The following is a 24,018-nucleotide window of genomic DNA, read 5'->3' on the forward strand; positions in this document are numbered from 1 at the left end:
TTTTGAGTCCTTAAGCATTAGAAGTTTAGGCTTTGGAGTGAGGCATACTTAGTTTCTGTCTCTGTTCTTACTATTTCTGTGACTTTGAGCAAGTTATTTAACTTCTCTAGGCCTCAATTTCTTCTTATAAAATAATAGTACTTCCCTTTTAAAATTGTATGAACATCAAGTGAGAGAATGCATGTAAAGTCAGCACAGAGGCTGACTCATAGTAAACATTGAATAAATGGAAGCTATGAATATTAAAAGTAGTTTTGAGAGTTGAGATTATAGTTGGTTGAGGAATGAAACGGAAATGACTCTTGAGAACTTTGGATACAAAGGAGGAAGAACAAGGTCATATGGGGTCTAACAGTAAATATAGCCTCAAGGGAGATTTTTATTTTAGGAAAGAAACTAGAGGAGGAAAAGGGACTAGAACAGAGAGGAAATAAGCAGTGAAAGTGGTGAGAGGGAATGAAGTGTAACTATGGTTGGTTCCTTAATGTTGCTTCAGAATATCTTTGTGTTTCTTCTGATTTCCTGCTTCCAACATAAGCTGTATTTCTTACTGTTATTTACTTTCTTCACATATTCAGAACAGTGGCGGGTGAGACACCAAGTAAGAATTACCATTATTCTGTTGAATGTGGTAATCATACCAATACAAGAATAATATAGGGAAAAAGCATTCTATAACTTTTTCTCACCTGAAGTCTAGTCATCCAGTCAATAACCAAGTCCTGTTGGTTCTACTTCCACAATAAAAAATTATATCTTTCTTTACCTCTTCATCCACATTCCCACAGCCCTAGATTACCATCTTTTTCTCTCCCCTGAATTGTCATTTGCCTTATCATCGGTTTCCCTTCCTTGCATTTCACTTCCTTGTCATCACATTGCCCCCTTGCTTACAATTCTTATATCTTCCAACTGCTTTATTTTTTTTATTTATTCAAAATAACTCACTGCCTATTCATTAAACATTTGCTGCCAGTGATGAACAAGACAGATTCCTTTTAAATTCTTGCTCTCAAGAGCTTAAAAGCTGCCCTTAAAATGTGAACTCTTTGTGTGTCATACAAGGCCTTCTGTGATCTTCACCCATTCTGGTTGTCCAGCTGTCTGCTGCCTCCTTCTGGGGTACTCTGTGTATTCCTGTCATGCTATTACCACTGCATGTTCTCCTCACTCTTCTGTGGTATCCCCCTACCTGGAATGTACTCTGCCGCTTCTTTCACTACCTGTTAAACTTCTTTTCATCATATCAAATGTTGTCTTTTCTGTAAAGCCCCCTTTACTCTTCAGTAAGCGTGAGCACTTCTTCCTTTGTGTTCACATTGCATCCTGTGCTAACCCCCACTTTGGCATTTTAGCTGTGATCATAGTCTAACTATGATACTTTAAGGTTAGGAACTGTGTCACTATATTTTCAAATCCTAGAGCCTAGGAAAGTGCTTGGCATAGAATAATTAGAAGTTGTTAGCATTAGTTGAGAAATCACTATGCATCAAGACTGTGCTAAGAGCCAATATACATTATCCCACTTAATTCTCAGCAACAGCAGATGTAGTTATTATGATATCCCTATTTTCCAGGCAAGGAAACTAAGGCCAAAAGAGATCAAGTAATTTGCCCAATGTCTCACAGATAGGTACATGGTGGAGTCAGGGTTTAAATCTTTGACCCTGTGTTTTCAAAGTGCATGCTCTTAACCTCCAAATTCTCCTACATTAATAAATAGTTGTTGAAAGAATTCTGATATCTTTCTGATAAATCATACCTGAAAGTATTGGGGAGATTTTCCATTTTTATAATACAGATATTTAAAATAGTACGTTGCTGATTAATAATTACCGTGGTTTAAAATCATGCCCCTGCATCTGTTGAAGCAGATAAGGAAATGTGAGAGTTATGTTTTTATACCTCTCATCAAGACAAAAAAACCCACTTTCATTTTAGATAGCTCCATCTGGTGTGTATATATGTAAATATCAATATATATATAAACATACATATATGACGATATACTGACACATACATGCTTTAGGAATATAAAAAATAATAGTTCTTATGCTTAGGAACATACAGTACAGATAAGATAAGCCTTAACATAAGTGAAAGAATTAAAGAACAACAAATTGTTAAAGTGCCTTAAGTAATTGTCTTTCTACTGTAGAGCAGAAGGAAGTAGAGGCTTTTAACGAATAGGGGGATTCAAGGAATCAAGTGGAATATGAATTTAATAAGAGAAAAAAATCTGTCATTGGAAATCTGCAAGATAATAAAGTAAACACAGTTGTATCACCTCACATTTTTCCTATGAAAAGTAATCTTAAGCCTAAAAAACAAATAAGACTTGATTGCCTTTTTTTTTTTACCTGCTAAATTTATTTATTTATTTGTTTGTTTGCTTGCTTGTTTGCTTATTTATTCATTGAGATGGAGTTTCGCTCTTGTTGCCAGGCTGGAGTGCAATGGTGCGGTCTTGGCTCACTGCAACCTCCGCCTCCCGGGCTCAAGCGATTCTCCTGCCTCAGCCTCCCAAGTAGCTGGGATTACAGATGCCTGCCACCACGCCTGACTAATTTTTGTATTTTTAGTAGAGATGGGTTTCACCATGTTAGCCAGGCTGGTCTCGAACTCCTAACCTTTTTCCACCTGCCTCAGCCTCCCAAAGCACTGGGATTACAGGCATGAGCCACTGCGCCTGGCCTACTTGACTGCCTTTCTGTGTTTAGAAGTACATTAATTGTACTTCTGAGTACATTAATTATACTTCCAAACATAGAATTGGATGGTGTTTGTTCCATTAGAATAGAGTTTATGTTTTGAAAATGTCAACGTGGATTTCAGGATGATTATCATCCTTGGTTGGACATGCAAGTGATATAAAGTGGAAGAAAGTTTATCATGACAATCTTAATTTAATCAAATTTAGGAAAATTCAAAGAATTCATACTTTTTATTCTTTTCCTCTTGAAACAGCAAACTCATTATTACATTGGGTAAGAAACAAAAAAGAAAGAATGAGTCTTCAGATGAAATATCTGATGCAGAACAGATGCCACAGCATACATTAAAAGATCAAGACTCTCAAGTGAGTATTACAATTTTTTCTAGAAATGAAACACTGTTAGAATGATTTAGTTAGCATAATATTGCCTTATAGATATTTACACTTTAGTTAGAAGTAAAAATACATTTTGTAGTATGGTAGAAGTTGAAGGTAGCATTATTACAATATGTCCTGGTAATATTACCATAGAATATTAGATGTGGGAGGAAACTAACATATCCTCTCCAGACCCCTCATTTTTCAGATAATGAAACTGAAGCCCAGAGAGGTTAACAATACAAAGTCCTTGATGGCTTTTAGCATGGAGGAGTATTTAGTGATACTATCCTGTGCTTATAGAGTTCTTTTGAATGAACGTGATGGACATAGTAATTTTTTAAATCACATACAAATGACAGAGCAAATGGATTGAATCATTCCTAGAAATAATTCCTTTGGTCTGTTTTTGTGAAGAAAAGATAACTGACTATATTAAAAATCCCGTAACATAGACAGAAGAAATACTATGCATTTTGCCTTTTTTTTTTTTTTTTGAATAGGTGGATATTCAAAATAACCCTCTGAAGTTAAAATTATATATAGTGAAGGTCATAATAATCCAGGCCACCCTCTGCTCTCTAATAACTAAAGTATGACTGTAGGCCGTAGGGGTGGTGGCAGTTGTGAATTATGGGGCCAGAAAGCCCCTGAATGGCCTTTCTTCTTCCTTATGCAGCTTCTTATCCAATGGGAGAGTAGTGGCTCAAGGCTCCTGGGCTGCTGCAAGAGTTGAGGTAAGGGCAGTGACTGAAGCTCCTAATATTACATGGCCTGGCTTTTTCATCATATGTTATCCTTAACTTAGGCAAACTTATATTTAACTTATTCCATATGATTAAATTTAGTTTAATTTTTGCTGGAATAATGCTGGCCATTTTTCCATTATGTAATTTTCAAACAATGACATGGTAGGCTAGGTCAACATGAACATTTCTTCCATGTTTTTCACTGTAGTATTAGGTTGTTTTGACAGGTGTGTTGCTTTAACACACACACAAAAAATGGTGAAGGTAAAAATATTTTCTAATAGTTATAAATCTACATTATTGATATATTTGATTGTGTCATTAAATAAATGATGGAAAGATCCATGTAGCTTTTAACCACGTTGGAAACTAATTAAGGTTTGGAATCAGCTGGAAATCTAAAAATGTGATTTGGTATTTAATTTTGTTACCTTTAATCTTAATAGAGAATATTACAGTAGTCCAACTATATTTAGAGACCTAAATTAAAAAGAAATATGCCCCTGCAACAGAGTATACTATTAGGAATATTATAGGAAAGAAGTGCAATGTTAAAATAGTGAAGTACTATATTAGTCACTTAAAACGTGCTTCTAACCTCCTATGTAAAGTGCTGTGGGCTGATCTGTTGAAGCCTTTAAGACTTAAGAAGCTAAAAATAAGAAATTAAAAGGGACAATTTATCAGGATTTTAAGTTGTGCTTTAAAAAACATTATGGAAAAAGAAAGCCAGAAAAAGCACATGCCAAAAATGTGGACATAAGATTCATTTTTATGTTTTTAAACTAGTAGCGACGTTCTATGGTGAAGAAAGATAATTGGTGAGAATGATACCTTATTTGGCTTTACCTAAGTAATGTGTAACTATGTCCTCTAGTGGAGTGTAATTTATGGTAAAATCTTCTATAATCTCATAATTCATAGACTTTTAAATTAATCTGTTAGGCAAAGTCTTTGTAGGATGAGGGAACAGTTTACAATAAGTAGCCTTCATTCTATCTGAGTGCACTTTTGTGAGCTTAAAAGATTCTTTGAGGTCACTCATTTACTATTTACTAAAAACTCAGTGAGTTATCTCTAAGTACTAATAGATGTCTTAAGTGGCCAGAAAGGAAACTAATGCTGAAAACTTCTAACAGAATTTTCTAAAAATGTACTGAACTATTCTCAAATTTCATTACTTAAAAGTCATGCCTAATGAGACATTGATAATATATCACAGTTGTTTATTAATTAAAACTATTCTTGAACATTAAGATCTATATGGTGCCCATAATAGAATTCTAAATATTCTTTTAGCCTAGTGTTAGAAATCCATAGAATTCCCCCCTCCTAGAGAATAATAGTAATTCATATCGTTTTCAAAATAGGATGAAGGAAAATTGGGTTTCTAGTAGCCCTTTAATTAGAATTTTTATATGTCACCAGGCTGTGTTATTTTGAGGTTTGAAATGTCAATGTCTTCATGGCCAAGAGACATTCGACCCATCCTACATGAGGCATGGTGTTATCTAGTACATTTGGCTGACCATATGAGTGCCTTTCTTTCTCTCAGTATTTTACTACTCACAAGAGAAAGGGGCAGAGGCATGACTGCATGCATATAGTTTGTCACCACACTGTAGCAGTGACTCAGCCATTTTTGTCATGGCTGTGAAGGTAAATTAAAGACTTGCCAAATAGAAGACAGGCAGAAACCAGAAGAACTTGTGGTTTATTTTGCTGGTTCCATTTTTTGGAAGTGTCATGAAGTTACTAAATATATAGAAGAAATTGGACTAGAAAAAAGAAGAGATTTGCCAAATATTGAGCAATTGAACAGTTGGTTGAGATGCCACTACCCGCATGAAATGTCTCTACCCCATGAGATTACAAGGGAAATTTAAAAAATAAACCTAAGCCCTTTGGGATTTTGAAATTTTTATCTTTATTGTAAACACCAAAAGAGATGTAACTTTGTTTTTGTTTTTTAAGTTCTCCTTGAAATATAAAACTTTTGAAACAAATATTAGATATTTAGGGAGGTAAGTAAAGCCATGTATATTTGATTCCAGATTTAAAATTACTTAGATTATTTAAAAATTATCTTACTACATGTAATACTTTGTAAAAGGCTTAGTTTTGTGTGATGATAGTGATGTCTTTTATATTTAAGGAAAGCTACTAAAGTTAGTGAAACAGTTTCTTCTTTCATTCAAAATTATTTGGTAGATTTAATGCTTTCTTATTTTGTGCATTTCTTTTTAAATATTTTATATTATGTTATTCTGCTTTAAACACAGTTTCATGTGTTTTGGCAAACACTATTTAATTTATTCTTCTAGATTTATACCCCCAATTAATTCTATACCCAATATTCATCTGATACACTTTTTAGGTTTTGGACTAAAACTGTGAAATTATTAATAGTTTAAATATTTATTGCCCAAGTTATGACATAGTTAAATAAAACAGATACCTTTTTATTCTTAACAATAGTTTCTAAAGAAAAGTAATGTAGTAATAAAGGTATTCCTAATAAAATATATTTTGCCCAACCTGTGAAATAATTTTTTTAAAAAACAGACATCTCTTTATTCTTAATGATTTCCAAATTAACATAATAAAAGTATTACTAATATTTGTTGTTTGAAATTGTAGGAAGTAGAACTGTAGGAAGATTGTAAGCCTGTGGCAAATGGCAAATTATAATCTTCCTCTAATTAAAAACAAAATAGGAAAAGATAGTACATTGAGTGTCATGTTGAAAATTTAATATACAAAATTGCCAACTCTAGGGGTAATTATTTTCAAAAACTTTTCTTCAAAATAAATTATATAAATCTGATTCTTGTGGTTCATTACAGAAAAGAAGATCAAATCGACAAATTAAAAGAAAAAAATACGCAGAAGATATAGAAGGGAAGCAATCTGAAGAAGAGGTTAAAGGTTCTATGAAAATAAAAAAGAATTCAGCTCCTTTACCTGGTGAACAGCCTTTACAATTGTTTGTGGTAAGCATATTTGGGATTATGACTGCAAAACATTTTAAACCGACATAAATTCTATAAATACTTGCATTGTTTTTCCTACTAAAAATTGCTCTAACTTATCCTTCCGGATTCCATATTATTAGTTAATTGAGTCATTCAAATTAGAAACCTAGGGATTCATTCTCTCTTCATTTTCCTTTGCCTCTTCATTCAGGTTGTCACTACACTTTCTACCTCCTAAATATATGTTCTTGAAATTCTTCAAACTATCTTTTCTGCAGAATATTTCTAAATTACAAGTTTAATCATATTATTTTTCTACTGAAAACTCCTCTAATAGTTTCCTAAACCTTACAAAAATAACGATACCTTTTTAGCAGTGTATAAACCCCTTTGTCTGGATTTTCTGGCGTCATCTTCTGCTACTTCTCCATAAGCACTTAGTCCTCTGTTTTATGAACACGTTTGCCTGAATGCCATATGTGCTTCCCTCGTCTATGATTTTTTAAGTCCCCCTTATATGCATTATGACCCAACCACTCAGCCACTAGCTGAGTACCTTGGGCAAGTACTTATTTAACTATGCCTAAATTTCCTAATCTGTAAAATGGAAATGATAATAATGAAGATAATAGATTAAATTAATATATGTAAAATGCTTAGAATAATGACCAGCACATTAAAAAGCACAATATGTTTGCTACAGAGATAATGCAGGTGATGAAAAGGACAATGACAATGATATATTTTTTTCATTTTTGTATTTCTAACACGTAACATAGTGTCTAGCATATATGCTGTATAAATATTTGTTGAATTGTAGTATGTTCATCAACATACAAAGTGGCAACTAAAAGATCTTTCAGAATGTGTTCTGTCATTATTTCTTTCCTCCCTCCCATAGGAGAATCCGAGTGAAGAAGATGCTGCAATTGTAGACAAAATTCTATCTTCTAGAACCGTAAAAAAGGAAGTAAGTACTGGTACATTACATTTTACACTTCATATTCTGTGGCCTGTTTAAAAGAGTCACCATTACTGATTTTCTTTTCTTAGATATCACCTGGAGTGATGATTGATACAGAAGAATTTTTTGTAAAATACAAGAATTAGTAAGTATTTGAGTTAGAAAAATAAAAGAAAGATGTTGATTTACATATAAATTAATATATTTAATAAATTAAAATTATGATTTTCATTTTATCCACATTTTTATGATAATTTTTATTATTTATACCTGCATAACTCAAGAATCATTAAAAAGTGGAAAAGGGCCCATTTGAAAACCTTTCATGTTAAAATTGAATGATTTGGCCAGGTGTGGTGGCTCACATCTGTATTCCCAGCACTTTGGGAGGCCAAGGCGGTCATATCACGAGGTGAAGAGATCGAGACCATCCTGGCCAACATGGTGAAACCTCATCTCTACTAAAAATACAAAAAAATTAGCTTGGTGTGGTGGCACGCACCTGTAGTCCCAGCTACTCAGGAGGCTGAGGCAGGAGAATCACTTGAAGCCAGGAGGTGGAGGTTGCTGTGAGCCGAGATCGTGCCACCATACTCCAGCCTGGCGACAGAGCGAGACTCCGTCTCAAAAAAAAAAAAATTAAATTTTTTTTATTTTCCAGAAAATGTTCATTATTAACATCAAAATGCAGGAATCTTTATAAAATATGCTTTTATAATTTATAGACAGCATTCATTGTATTGTTGAACTTTTCAGATTTTATTGTCCTTATAAAATACATTTCTAATCTACTTACAGTCCCAGCTATTCTGGAGGTTGATACAGATCTCTTAAGCCTAGGAGTCTGAAGCCAGCCTGGGCAATATAGTGAGACTCCATCTCTTTAAAAAAAAAAGTTTTTTTTTTCCTGATCTTTAGGTTTTTATGTCAGACGCACACAATGAGATGATTTGACCTTAAAGTTTTTAATTTTAATTTTGGATAAAGGTCAGGTAACTCATGAGTTGCTAACTGGGGAAAAATCACTTACTCTTCTTTTTACATATTTTCCAACTTATCTTTGTACCTCCATGAAAGTGTTTTTTTTTTTTTTTTTTTTTGAGACGGAGTCTCGCTCTGTCGCCCAGGCCGGACTGCGGACTGCAGTGGCGCAATCTCGGCTCACTGCAAGCTCGAAAGCGTTTTAAATCACATTAGTTTCAAAACAAGTTAGCTTTCTGATAATGACAAAACTGTTATAGGGAAATAATAATAGATAAATCGTATCTTGCAATTAGACTTTTGATCATTTTACTGTTCTGTTTCTATATGGCAAATTGTATACCTTTAGACTACGACCTCCTTAGCATATAGTGATCACAATTACTTTATTTTAGAAATGATCGTAATTCTATTAAAGTTAAATGATGAACTACCTATTTGAAAAGTTGAAGACAATAGTTTATATTGGATGTTATGATTTAAAATACATCTTAAAATGGTTATCTGTGTCATTCTAATATATTATTTTTATAAAAATTTTAGCTCCTATCTTCACTGTGAGTGGGCCACAGAAGAGCAGCTTTTGAAAGATAAAAGGATCCAGCAGAAAATCAAACGATTCAAATTGAGACAAGCACAAAGAGCACATTTTTTTGCAGACGTAAGAAAAAAATAAATAAGACTATTATGTGTTGGTCTCTGAATACATGTAGCATTATTTATCAAAAATTACACATTATTTTAATTCTTAGACTTCCAGTGTTGATATTTGAATACAAATGCTACCTAAATATAGTATTTTTCTCTTCTCAAAATTAGCTTGGAAACCATTTGAAACAGGAACACTGATAATTCAGAATGGTAGATCATGCTTGTATTTTTAAACTAGCATATATTTCAACATTTAGAGTTGAATGTGAGTATGGTAATATTACCAATAATATATCAGCAAAGTTATTCAAGTGGAGGAAGTGATAATCTAGCAAGTAAATGGAAAATAAGATTTTTCAGTACATGAAATATATTGCATATTTTCTATACTAGCTTCATGTATGTGAACAGAACCTCTGGAAAAATTTACCTCTCTAGGCCTGACTAAATGGTCTGATGTTCTTTCCTGCTCCAGATTTTTCTAATAGACTCCTTTTGGAGCAGTTTTAAATTCTTAATTTGAAAATTTTAAAAACTTTTTCTTTTAAACAAAATAGTCACAAAAATAGTACAATGAATTCTCACATTTATTTTAACTAGATTTCCGAAATGTTAACATTTTACCATGTTTGCTTTATCATTTGTATTCATTCTGTCCCTCTCTCTGTCATACACACACGTATTTTTCTAAACCATTTTAACATTGCAAACACTTTAGTATATATTTCCTAAAAACAACTATATTCTCTTTCATCAAAATAGTAGGACATCAATGTAGTACTATTATCCACAGACCTTACACATATTTCACTAATTGTTCCACTAGTGTTTTTATAACAAAAAGAGAGTGTGTATGTGTGCATGTGTATGTGTGTGTGTGTGTTTATTTTTATCTGGTCCAGAGTCTAATCCAGCAGCACATGTTACATTTAGTTGTAATATCTCTTAGTCAGTCTCTCTTTGTTTTTCATTTCTTGGACATTTTAAAGGGTACAGCTCATTTTGTAGAATGCCCCTCAGTTTGGGGTTGTATGAAGTTTCGTCATGATCCAGGTTAGGCATTTTTTAAAAGAACACCATAGAAGTGATGCTCTATTCTTCCAGTGAATGATATAAGATGGTACATGATACCTCTGTACCCCAGTACTGGTGGTTAATCACTAGATTAAGGTGGTATCTGCCAGATGTCTTCACTACATAATTACTATTATTCCATTTGTAATTATTAATTTCACCTCAAAAATGTGGGCTGGGTATGGTGGCTCATGCCGGAAATCCCAACACTTTGGGAGGTCAAGGTGGGAGGATCACTTGAGGCTAGGAGTTTGAGACCAGCCTGGCCAACATATGAGACCTCCATCTCTATTTTTTTTAAAAAAAGATGATTCTAATGACCTGTTAGTTTGTGGATGCTGGGAGGTCCTCTCATCACCTTAAATATCTGTCATCTCTTCACTATGATCTAGAAGTTCCTAATAAGCTGAAGATTTTAGAATTAAGTAATAATCATTAAATTTTCATTAAGACTAATTAGGGGAGAGTCGGTGAAGAATTTTAAGTAAAGGAGCGATATATAAGATTTATATTTGAGAAAGATTACTCTGGGGACAATGTGAAAAACATTAAAGGGGAGGTGAGACAGTAGTTGGGGTTATTTTAAAGATTCAAGTAAGAAGTGAGGATGAAGAAGGAGGAACCAATCTCAGAGTTAAAATAGAGTCTGTACGAATTGGTGACTTACTCGATGTAGAGGGTAAAGAAAAAGAAGGAATCTAAAATGACTTCTTCATTTCTGGCTTGTGTCACTGAGCGTGGGCTATGGAGAGGAAGCTCTGTTACCATTAACCATTAGAAAATGCAGGAGGAGGTATGGGTTGAAGAGTAAATGAGTGCAAATGAGTTTGAGGTACCTCAGTAAAGTTTGCAGTCAGCTCAATAAGTGGGTCTTGAGCACAAGAACCATCAGGTAAAGATAAAGGGTGTGTGAGACAACAGAAATGAGCATTCAATGGGATGATGCATGGTCTTCAACTCTTGCAACCTGAGGAAAAGCGTAAAGGAAAGGTATAGAGGCTGCTTTCAGGCATTTTTTAAAGCACGTATCTTCTAGAGTACCTTATATTTTAGTACTATTTGGTTTTATTATTTATAACATTTTTCATGTTATCCTAGCTATCATTTGGAAATGAAAATGGAAGAATTCCATTTATTGGACATTTAACTGAAATCAAACTTACAAGGTCTATAGTGAAATGCTAGTAAATTCGTCCTTACTTTTATCATTCCAGTTCTTTGTCAGATGTCAATTAAGTTACCTTTTAATTTTAGATGGAAGAAGAACCATTTAACCCAGACTACGTTGAAGTAGACAGAGTATTAGAAGTCTCTTTTTGTGAAGATAAGGATACTGGTGAGGTAAATATATGGTAAAAAGATTTTTTAAGTAAGAAAAATCTGAAACTTTCCAAGTATTAAGACCTAGTACTTTATTCTCTGTTTAAACTATTTCTTACTAGTGTCTTTTTCAAAATGGTAAATGAAAAAATTTTTTTACAGCCTGTTATTTACTACTTAGTAAAATGGTGCTCATTGCCATATGAAGATAGTACTTGGGAACTAAAAGAAGATGTAGATCTTGCAAAAATAGAAGAGTTTGAACAACTGCAAGCTTCAAGGCCTGACACAAGACGTTTGGTAAGAACCTGTTTTAGACAGCTTTATAAAATCTTAGCACTTGTTTATGTAAGTTATGATATTGCTAATAATTATATAATGTTTTACTTTCATTTCTTTTAAACAGGCTTGTTACTATGTGAGTCTAGTTTTGGGAGCCAAAGCTTAAGAGGGAGTTTATATGTGAAAAGACAGGAGCAGATTCCTTTTTGATTAGCACGAGAGTGAGGAAAGCTGCCCTGATAAACATGGAGATGTGAAGTAAGAGAAGGAAATGAATTAAATATTCCATAGAAGAGATCATATTGTTTTATAATAACTATTTTCTGATCTTCCTAGTATTATTTTCTGGTCTTCTTACTTTATTTTCCAGTAATGTCCGTAGGCTGTTAACAAAAGCATATCAGTTTACCCCCATTCCTTTTACCTTCTAAATGCTATTCCTTGAACCAGGAAACAGAAGCGTCACCTAATTCAGAGAGGAATGAGTCAAGGAATGTAGTAGAAGAGAAAGATTTTCTTTTGGGGTGGGGTCTATGCCTTAGTGGTAATATTAAGCCTCACTGAATAAGCTATGTCTTTAGATAAGTGATTCTCAGTCAAAGGTGCATATCAGAATCTCTTCTGGAGCTTTTCAAAAATTAGAGATGCCTTAGATATATGTTATAGGCCTTGGTAAAGGGGGCTCAGCCAATAGAATTAATCCCCTTAATTAATGTAAAATTGATGACAACAGGGCTAGTCTGTCATGGTTAAATAATGTAGGAGGTGTTTTTTTGTTTTGTTTTGTTTTCCTTTCTTTTTGCCAGTATACTGCTGTTAAATAAAATAGCATATAAGTCACGTAAAGTATTTTGAGATTCTGTAAATGAAATTTTTCCCTGACCCGAACTAATGAATCATTAATAGTGATTGGATTGCTGAAAAGAAGCTATACAGAATATGATCTAATGCAGAAATTATTTTAAGCAGCAGTTAAAATATATGTTAATTATTTTAATGTTCATTGGCTATCACTTAAAAAATGTTTTCTTTAGCAAACACCTGTATTAAGTAGCAGCAGAGCTTCAATAACCAGTCCTGTTCTCAGTATACTGATAGCCTGTTTTGTTTTCCATGTACAATTACTATACACTTACCTGATGTTTAAGAAAAGCTTTCTTGAACTGTGTTTTTCCTCTGCTCTCAGGGTAACACAACAATCAACACAAAAGACTTCTGTAACCCCAAAATATGTGGGGAATTCTTCCGACCAGCAAGCAGTCAGTTCTGCAGTGGATGCCAGCTGGCTGTCCTCTAATTCAGTTCTACCCAGCTCTAATTCACCATCTACCCAGATATAGCATCAGATCCCACATCTTGAGGGTTCAGTCCCACAAGACTGCCCCCTCCTTTCCACCAGTCACAAGTCCAGGGGCCTTCAGAACTTCTGACTGACTGGCTTCAAGTTAGGGTTCCCATTACCCACCACTTTGGGTTTGATTAATTTGCTAGAGCAGCTCACAGCACTCAGGAAGACATTCAAGTTTTACCGGTTTATTCCTAAGGATATTTTAAAGGATACAAACAAACAGCCAGAGGAAGAGAGACATAGGGCGAGGTCTGAGTGCAGGAGCTTCTGTCCCTGTAGAGTTGGGGTTTGCCATTCTCCTGGCATGTGGATGAGTTCTTGTTCACCTTTCTGTCAGTCTCCACATGTTCAGCTCCCTGGAAGTGTTCAGCTCCTGGAAGTTCACTAAACCCTGTCCTCTTGGGTTTTTATGGAGTCTTCACTATGTAGGCATGATTGATTCAATCATCTAATGGCCATTGGTGATCAACTTGACCTTCTCCCCTTCCTTCCTTCCTCCCCTCCTCCCCTCCTTCCTTTCTGCCCATTCCCCTTCTCCCCTCTAATCATGCCTTTGTCCTTCTGGTGACCAGCCCCACCTGAATCTATCAGTCAGGAATATTGGCACACAAACAAGCAGCACTTTGGGGAACCCAAGGATATCAGGAGTTGTATGCCAGGAAATGGGAATGAAGATCAAATACATATTTCACAATATCACACCTGATTATCCTGATAATTCTTAGAAGTGTAATTTTGTTGATTAGTAACAGTATAATTTTAAAGCAGAAGACAATGGGAGACCTTTTGCTTGTTTCTCAGAAACTTATTTCTCCTACTGAGACCCTACTCATTTGGGGCCAGGATAATGTTATTTGAATTCTCATTCAGGAATCTTCAGAAAATTTATGTCTTATATATCTATATATAAGTGAATAAAATTCTTTTACATATAATGTTTCACTTCTATGCTTCTAGATTTCTTTTGAAAGAAATGTTTTGTACCATGAATATCAAAAGTTATTTTGGATGCTATTATAAAATGGTTATTGTTTTTTAAAAATATATTCATGATTGTTGCCACAATGTTTGCACATTGATCTTGTATTATGCAACCTCGCTAAAATTACTGCTTAGTTTAGCTTTCATGGCAGATTCCACAGGATTTTCTACATAGACAAATCATGTCTTCTATAATATAAATAAAGACAGTTTGTTATTCTTTTTCTTTTTCTTGTTTGATTATACTTGTTAGTGCCTGCAGTACAATGTTGAATAGAAGTTGTCACAGAGGACATCCTTGCCTTATTCCTGATCTTAGGGGGAAAGCAGTCAGTCTTTCACCTTTAAATGTTATGCTAGTTTTGGCTTTTTCATAGTTGTACTATAACAGTTTAAGGAAGTTCCCTTCTATTCAAAATTTGATGAGTTTTAATTAGGAGTGGATGTTAAATTTCTCAAATACTTTTTCTGCATCTACTGAGAGTACCATGTTATTTTTGGTTTTTTTATGTTTTATGTTTTTTTAAATAGAGATTGTGTCTCCCTGTGTTGCCCAGGCTGGTCTTGAACTCCTAATCTCAAGCGATCCTCCCCACTTGGCCTCCAAAAGTGCTGGGATTTTAGGCATGAGCCACCACACTCAGCTGATTTTTATTTTTTAATCTGTTGATCAGCACTGATTAATTCTCTACTTTAAACCCACCTTCCATTCCTGGTTAAAAAAAAAAACAAAACCTACTTGGTCATGATCTTATTGCCCTTATATATTGTTAAGTTCCATTTGGTAAAATTGCATTATGAATATTTGCATCTTTGTTCGTGAGGGACATTGGTCTGTAGTTTTCTGGTGATGTCTTTGTCTGATTTTGGTATCAGGGCTTCATAGAATGAGTCAGGAAATATACCTTCCTCTTCAGTTTTCTGGAAGAGTTGTATAGAATTAATTTGACCTTTAAATGTTAGGTAAAAGTTAATCATAACACTGTACACTGTTATGCCTCTTAGGGTTATTTTTAAACCAATGCTTTTTGCCTTCAGTATGATATATGGAAGATTTAAACACCATTCATTCTTTGTTTTTCCACAAAGGACCGTCCTCCTTCTAATATTTGGAAGAAAATAGATCAATCCAGGGACTATAAAAATGGCAATCAACTCAGGGAATATCAACTGGAAGGACTCAACTGGCTCTTGTTCAATTGGTACAATAGGTATGTAGTATATCTTAATAAAAAAAATTTATTTTTTTAATGTGTGCCAAAATGTGTCAAGTAAAATAGATACTGTTGTTGCTATATTGTTATTGTTTTGAAGTCTTCATTATTTAAAGTGAGGTTACCTCAGGAACATATGTAAATTGCAACTTAGGTTTCAACTACAATTGTTTTCTTTAAATGTATACCAATCAGAATAGAAGAAAGTTGGTATGTTGATTAATACTTAAATTTGAAATACCTTTCCAAGAGTCCTAAGAAACCTTCTGTGTTATATAATGCTTTTCAGCTTATCAACCCGTACTACTGTCTGCCAACAATCAGTTCGAGTTAGTGAGTTATGAGCAAGGTATACTTATAGGAATTAAAGCTCTATCATTTAATGTAAATTATCAAAGAAGTAGGTTGTCAGCAATAGATAAGGAATGGAATATAAAATATGGGAACCTGTAATTAATTACCCCATTTTTATTATCTGTTTTTCAAGGTTTTCAAAATGCCTTATAGAATATCTTACATTCTTTTTTGACATGAAAAGATAATTGCAAAAGAAGTAAAAAAATGTTACTGCGATTGAGAAAGCATAGTAGTTACATATGCAAAAGAGCAAATAAAGGCACTACTGTTAGTAAGAATAGCAAAATTTGATGATACTTTTATTCAGAATCATTTTTAATCATTTTTACTTTTCACGTGAGTCTTCTGAATTGTTATGCTTAGTGATGGTGAGTCATGGACTCAGTCGATGGAAAGAGGCCTGTTATCCCCACAGTGCTCTTTTCCCTGATTTATATTTTCCAAATATTAATCATCATTTTTCCCAAGAGAACCATCTAGGAAAAGTAGTTGACAAAACATTTTTTTAACTTGTCTTCCCTCATCAGTACCCTTTCCCATCTCCTATATTGCCTGTTTTAACTTTTCACCACTTTCTTGAAACCCTTTATCACAGTTCTGCCCCCTTCACTCTCTGTATATGACTGCTTCATAGAGAAACCCGGGGATGGTAGGTAAACTCATCCAAGTTCTTGCTTGCCTTCATATCCAAGCCTACAGATGTGTTAATATCTTCATCCACAGTTATTCTTACCACTGCCCTCATGTATCAGACATGCCATCTCATCTAGTCTTCTTAGAGCCTTAGAGCCTTACTTCAATCACTTATCCTTCTCTTTTATATCTCCAGGCCATCCCTGAAGACTATTGCCATCCCTTCAGTCTATGAACAAATTTGAGTTTAAAATAAACCTTCTCTTGGCTCTGCTTCTCTCTCTCTCTCTTTCTCTTTCTCTCTGTCTCCCCATTCCCCCCCACCACCACCACCACCACTGCCCCCACCCCAACTCCCCTGCATTCTCTGAAACTTTTAACTTTCCAAATCCATGAAATATTTTTCAGCCCTAATTTGCTCTCTGCTTCATTGGTTAGTAGTTGGTACTCCTTCCTTCTTTAAACATTCCCCTCACTCTGAACTCCAACAGTTTCCACAGTGTGACTCTCTCCTAGCTCTGCAGTACCTGTGACTATTCCTTTCAATAGTCTGCTGGTTCTTCCTCTGCCTGCCCTGTAGATATTGTGTTTGCCTGCCTTGGGTTCTGTCTTTAGCTCTCTTTTCATATTACATTTGTTCTCCCTAAGCCATATTCTATACTCCCCGTGCCTTCACGGGGAGTCCCATACTTTTAAATCTAAGGTCTTGAACTCTGGGCCCATATTTTTATTTGCCTCTTGCTACCTGAGTGTCTATCTCAATGATTCTTTAAACACAACAGATTAAAAATTAATATTATTTCCTGTTTCTTCCCCATCAAAATTGTTCTTCCTCTGTATTTTCCATCTTGGTTAATAACAACACAATTCATTTAGTCACCCAAACTGAAATCTGGCTTCACCCTACACCCCATACTTTGGTAACTAGGTCCATTTTATTCTAACCCATAATTAATTCTGGAAAGTTCTCTCCTCTTAGTTTCTCCTCTCTTAGACCAGGTGCCCACACTTTCTTCCCTGCACTTAATGGTACTTTCTCAGTTACTGTCCCAACTTCTAGTCACCTCAACCTCTAATATCCACAATAGCACCAGAGTAAACTTTAAAATACAAACCTAATCTTATTGGATTTGTTTGAAGAGTTCCAGTAATTTCCATTGCATAATAGAATGGCAAATGTCTTCTATTTATGACCCTACTTACCTCAATAATCTCTCTTCCTTTTACCCTCCCCTCCAAACCATAGAACAACTTTTGGTCCTTCAGTTCATCATGTTCTTTACACTTCTGCTCATTCACTGTGCTCTCTGGCAAAAATGCTACTCATTACTGACCTCCTTTCTGAAAGAGGTCTTCTCTCATCTCTTCTAGCCAGAGTTGAGGCTTACTCTTTTGAGCCTCCATAATAAACCATACTGATGATTCTTAATTGGCCACATATCATAATCATCTGTGAAGCTTATTTTTGAAATTATAGCTGATTTTATCCTATTCCATACTCATTGAATCAGAATGTATAGGGGAGGGGCCTGAGTATCTTTTTTTTCAAGCTTTGTAAGCTCTTCTGATGTGCAGCCACAATTGAAAACCAGTGCTTTATCTGTGCTTCAGTGATAGCACATTGCATGACTATTTATTTATTTGCATGTCAGCTTCTGTAATAGATACACACCCCTGAAAGGCAGAGAACATGTTTTATTTCTTTTGTATCCCATCTTCTCATACTGTCCTGAGATACAGAAGGTATTTATTAAATGATTCCTGAACAAATAATATATTGAGTTGGCCTTGCCCTTCCCTTTTCTTTTTTAAAAAATCAGACATCTAATGGGTGGTATCCTTATTTTGGAGCTATAGAAATCTTTGTGCCTTTGCAGGTTTATAATAAAATTGTAATCTTAAGCCTACCCTGCACTTAAGCAACTTTTACATTTTTATAAATGCAACTATTTTATTTGATCTTTGATTATTTTTGTATATTTATCTTTAAAGTATAGAAAAAAAACCCAATGTATGCATGGATAATGTATTTGTTTATTTCAGACGAAACTGCATCTTAGCAGATGAAATGGGTCTTGGCAAAACTATTCAATCAATTACATTCCTCTATGAAATCCTTCTGACTGGTATAAGAGGACCTTTCCTGATTATTGCTCCACTTTCTACTATTGCAAACTGGGAGAGAGAATTTCGTACGTGGACTGATATTAACGTTGTGGTTTATCATGGGAGCCTGATTAGCAGACAAATGATACAGCAATACGAGATGTACTTCAGGGATTCACAGGTGTGTTATTGATTATTTTGTTTGTTGTTTGAAAGGTCAGGGCTGAAAAAGATAAGCATTACCTACCAATTATTTTCAAATTTAGGATACATTTTAATTGCCTACCTAGATCTTAGTTTAAGTTCTTTTATTCATCATTTTTATTTTACAGTAAATTTGAGCAGCTGAAGAGAACAATGAGAAAAGTCAATTTAATGCTGTAGTTCACTATAATGAAGTATGCAGATTTAAACAATGCACGAGTTTCATTGTAATCCTTAATTTTTCAACTAGAATAATAATTTTACTAATTGTTTTTAAATACACATTAGATTTATTTTTAGGGTATTAACTGTCTCTGATCATTGTCCAGCTTTTTTCCCGTCATTTAAAAAATTTAAATCCTCACTAATACCACAGGCTTAAATGCCTGTTGAGGTGAGACCATAGGTTCTCTTTCATGTTCAATGGATTTTTATTTTAGACATTTTTTAAAATGTTGTTTGTTTTGCTTACCAAAACAGGTATACCTCCATCTTTTAGGAATGATGATTTCAGTACTCTAGTGGTTTGATGATGTTCCTCTCTCCATGTATTTTAGAGGAGCATTTTCTATTTTACTTTGACCACTTACTCTTTAGGAAGGGATTTCCTATCCCTTCTAAATACATAGATTGTAAAATAAAGAGATGACACCTTAAGAATTTTCTAGCAGAAAGTTAAGACTAGAAAAGATAGGCCAGGCATGGTGGCTCACACTTATAATCTTAACACTTTGGGAGGCCGAGGTGGGAGGATTGCTTGAGGCCAGGAGTTCCAGACCAGTCTGGGCAACATAGCAAGACCCCATCTCTACGAAAAAATTAAAATATTTTTTAAAAAAGAAAACATTCAAGTCATGGTTTTTGAATGTTCATATGAATCATTTTATTAAAATATTTCAATAAAATCAATAAATTCACAAAAAAACTGTACTTTTTAAATGGAAAAGGTTTATCTCCTGGCACCCTACACTAAAAGCACTTTAGTATTTTTTCTTTCCCTCATTCTGTTGTTCTAAAAGGATCATTATTATACATGGCCAGGTTATGTGATATGATAGAGGTTGAAGTAAGATAATGTGCATAGCCTTCTACTTTTGTCTTCCAATGATAACTGATTTTCTACCTGTTTGAGCCCAAGAGTTTGAGGCCGCAGTGAGCTGTGATCACACCACTGCACTGAAGCCTGGGTGACAGCAAGACCCTGTCCCTAAAAAAAGGAAAAGAATCAATCTATAATCTAATTAAGATATCATGGACTCCAAAGGTGCAAAGGTGACTATTTTCAATTGAAGAATAATTAATTATATAGATGCTTAATTTCGTATAAATGTAATTGTTTCAACCTTGGAAGTAGGAAGCAAAATGAGGTTACAGGAGCAAAATCAGTTAATTTATCCATTTTCAAACTCTTGGGCTTAAGTGATCCTCCCAAGTAGCTGAGATTGCAGGAGTGCATTTCCACACCTGGCTAATTATTTTATTTTTTGTGAAGATAGGGTCTCAATTTGTTGCCCAGGCTGGTCTCGAACTCATGTAATCCTCCCACCTCAGCCTCCCAAAGTGCTGGGATTACAGGCAGGAGCCACTGCACCTGGTCTAGTGTTTCATTATTCTTACTCGTACATTTGTAGAATTTTAGAGCTGTATGTTGTCATAAAAATGATTTAATTTGACATTCTCATTTTTTATAGAAAGCACAACTAATATCTTGAGACTTACAGAGATTTTTAACAAAGTTACAATTTTAATATATGTGTCACATGAGTTTGGCATAAATATGATAGCCAAAAACCTGGAAGATTCTTGATATGTAATAAACTGAATTGTATATATTAAATATTGTATTTTTATGATAAATGTTACAAATTCTAGATATATATTACCTAAAGAGGTTTTAAATTTCAAAAGATAAAGATGTCTCCTATAATGAAATAAATAGATCTGCACTTCAAATATAGAAATGACTTTTAGAATTAACTCTTTTAAATATATTTTCATATAAATTAAGTGAATATTTAACTTCTTTTTTTTTTACATTATCGAATAGCTTGAAATAACAGTAGTACTAAAATCATGCTAAAATTTTTCTAAATTGCCCTGGGAAAAGTAATGGAAGTGATAAACTAATAACCACAAACATTTATCAAGTATTTAACATGTGCCAGGCATTATGCTAAACAGTTTACATATATTATTTCACTTAATCTTTGTAATATCAACCTTGTAAAATAGATAGTATTATCTCCATTTTACCCATGAGAAAACTGAGGCTAAAGAAGTTGCATAGATTGCCCCAAAATCACAGTGTAAAACCAGGATTAATAAACTCAAATCAATCAGATTCAAGAGCCCTTGTTATTAAACACTGTGATATCAACTTAACTGAATATATTATATCCCAGGTTTTTAGAGCTGTATAAATGCCAGAGATTTATAATTTATACCTATTTTAATAATATTCTACTGCAGCTATTATTCAACTTAATGGCCAGTATACACAATTAATATTAACTGACCTAAAATTAATTAGGTTAATATTAATTAAAATCTAAGAACACCCAACTGTTCTTATCCCTTCTTTTCACTTAATACCCAATAGCTTATGTTTTCAACCCTGTTTAAACACTCTCTTCACTTAGATTCCAAGACTTCATCCTGTCCTACATCACCACTTATTGTTTCTCAAGCCCCCTTTATTGGTTCCTTCTTATCTTCCCTATATCTAAACTTTGGGGTAACCCAGAGCTCAGTCTTCAGACTCTTTTGTGTCTGCACTCATTATCTCACATATTTGATTCATACACATAACTTTGAATACCATCTGTACTGCTGAAATTCCTAAGCCTGTATCACCAAGTGTAAACTCTTTCCTAAATTCCAGAGTCATATCCAAATGCCTTCTTAACAACTCCACATGGATATGTCTAATAGATGTCTCAAAATTAACACATACAAAATCAAAATCCAAAACTACTTCTTTTTAGTAAATAACAACATGAACTTCCAGTTGTTCAAGCTAAAATTTTTAGAGGTAAATTTGAGGCCCTCCTCTATCTCACTCCATACTTATCCATTGGGAAATCCTGTTGGCTCTACTTTCAAAATGTATCTAGAACTGACCACTTCTCATGAACTCCAATGAAGATTTCTTGCTTGCATTACTATGGCAGCTTTTTAACTGTTCTCCATGATCCTGTCCTTGGCCTCTCCAGACAGGTTTCATCACAACTGCCAAAGGGACTTTTTAAAAATTTATGTCAAATCAGGACACTTCTTACAAATCCCTTCAATAGTGTCTTGCTCAGAGCCAAAATCTGTTATCACAGTTTTCAAGTCCCGCAGTCGGCTGCATCCCCTCCCCAACTCACTGGGTTTCAAACACTCTGGCTTTCTTGCTGTTATCTGAATGCTGCCAAAGATACTCTTACCTTAGGGCCTTCATACTTACTACTACTTTTACCAAGAATGCTTTCTTTTATAGATCTCTAGGTATCAACATGACTTCCTCCCTCATCTTTAGATCTTTCCTCAGATACCACATCGCAATAATGGTCTCCCAACCACTCTATACAAAAACTGCAGTTGTCACCTCCAACCTTATACTTCTTATCCCACATCCTTGTTTTATTTTATTCCACAGCCCTTATCTCTAACTTACTTTTTAAAAAATTATTTTCTTAATAACTATGTCCTGCATTTGATTCAGTAGAATATAAGTTCTAATTGGATAATTATTTTTATCTGTTTTGTTTACTGCTATATCTCCAGCAACTAGAACAGGGTCTAGCACATAGATACTCAATATCTGCTGAATAAAGTATTTGGATGGCTAATTATTCACTATTTATTTGCTATTATATTTGTGAACTCATTGGTGTAAGTAATAAGAACTAATACTGAAATCTCATTGGCCAGATTTTATCATGATTATTTCTTGCCCAAAATTATTATAATTCTTAAAAATTATCATACAACATTTTACCAAGAAATACTTATTAGGATACAATTATGAATAATATAATTATGTTGGCATAATGTTTAACAAGATTATTGAACACGGCAATATAATACAGTTTCAATGATAAAAGTTTTCATTGTAAGGGAGTGTCTGCATATGTAAAAATTTCATTAGAAATGTTTTATAACAGATGTTATCTGATGCCACTTGACAGGAATAAAAAATATGCAATTAAAATATTCCAGCAAATAATTATATTTGATCATTTCTAGGGGCGTATCATTCGAGGAGCTTACAGATTCCAAGCCATCATCACCACTTTTGAAATGATTCTTGGAGGCTGTGGAGAGCTTAATGCAATTGAATGGCGATGTGTGATTATTGATGAAGCACATAGGTTAAAAAATAAAAATTGTAAACTCTTAGAGGGCCTGAAACTCATGAATCTGGTAAGTAACTTAATATTATCATTATGACAATTGAGTTTATTAGATGTATAGTGAAAGGTTATAGAGTTAATGCTAAAAATTTTTCTTTTTAATTTTAGAGTGTAGTACATCTGAATCTTATCTGTGATAATTGAGATTTTTTGGGGGGCCTTAATTTGTAAGAAAAAAAATTCTGTTTCCTACGACTTCAAATTTTTTAGCTCTTTCCTTCAAAAAGCATTAGTAATTAATTTTTAAAATGAGACCTCTATAGAGTATGTACTATTTAAAAGAAAATAAGACCGTAAGTTTTTGTTTTGTTTGTTTGTTTGTTTAAGATGGAGTTTCTCTCTTGCTGCCCAGGCTGGAGTGCAGTGGTGCGGTCTCCACTCACTGCAACCTCCACCTCCCAGGTTCAAGCGATTCTCCTGCCTCAGCCTCCCAAGCAGCTGGGATTACAGGCATGTGCCACCATGCCCAGCTAATTTTGTATTTTTAGTAGAGATGGGGTTTCTCCATGTTGGTCAGGCTGGTCTCGAACTCCCGACCTCAGGTTATCCACCCGCCTCAGCCTCCAAAAGTGCTGGGATTACAGGCGTGAGCCTGTAATTTTTTGTATTTTTAGTAGACTAAGACCATAAGTTTTAAGCCATGAATTACTTAATAAAAAGCCCCTCTACCAAAGTTATATTATTCAGA

At 34.2% G+C, this 24,018-nt stretch overlaps 1 protein-coding gene across 43 annotated transcripts in view; it reads left to right on the forward strand.

The window, feature by feature from the left end:
* The window catches only part of CHD9 (chromodomain helicase DNA binding protein 9), a 272,507-nt gene that overhangs the window by 164,686 nt on the left and 83,803 nt on the right, over positions 1–24,018 (forward strand). For 42 of the 43 annotated variants that reach the window (XR_007064921.1, XM_047434707.1, XM_047434693.1 and 39 more), the window contains 10 exons: positions 2,968–3,079; positions 6,690–6,836; positions 7,720–7,788; positions 7,872–7,927; positions 9,307–9,424; positions 11,743–11,829; positions 11,971–12,108; positions 15,509–15,630; positions 18,667–18,910; positions 23,164–23,340. Coding sequence is in view for 42 of the 43 variants with exons in the window: in XM_047434707.1 (XP_047290663.1) it covers positions 2,968–3,079; positions 6,690–6,836; positions 7,720–7,788; positions 7,872–7,927; positions 9,307–9,424; positions 11,743–11,829; positions 11,971–12,108; positions 15,509–15,630; positions 18,667–18,910; positions 23,164–23,340 (1,270 nt within the window). In the remaining variant the exon portion in view is untranslated. Of the gene's footprint in view, positions 1–2,967; positions 3,080–3,779; positions 3,832–6,689; positions 6,837–7,719; positions 7,789–7,871; positions 7,928–9,306; positions 9,425–11,742; positions 11,830–11,970; positions 12,109–15,508; positions 15,631–18,666; positions 18,911–23,163; positions 23,341–24,018 lie in introns of those variants that run through there. The other variant, XM_024450461.2, reaches the window with a different exon arrangement.

This window comes from Homo sapiens, chromosome 16 (assembly GCF_000001405.40).
Source record: "Homo sapiens chromosome 16, GRCh38.p14 Primary Assembly".
NCBI classification, from domain to species: Eukaryota; Metazoa; Chordata; class Mammalia; order Primates; family Hominidae; genus Homo; species Homo sapiens.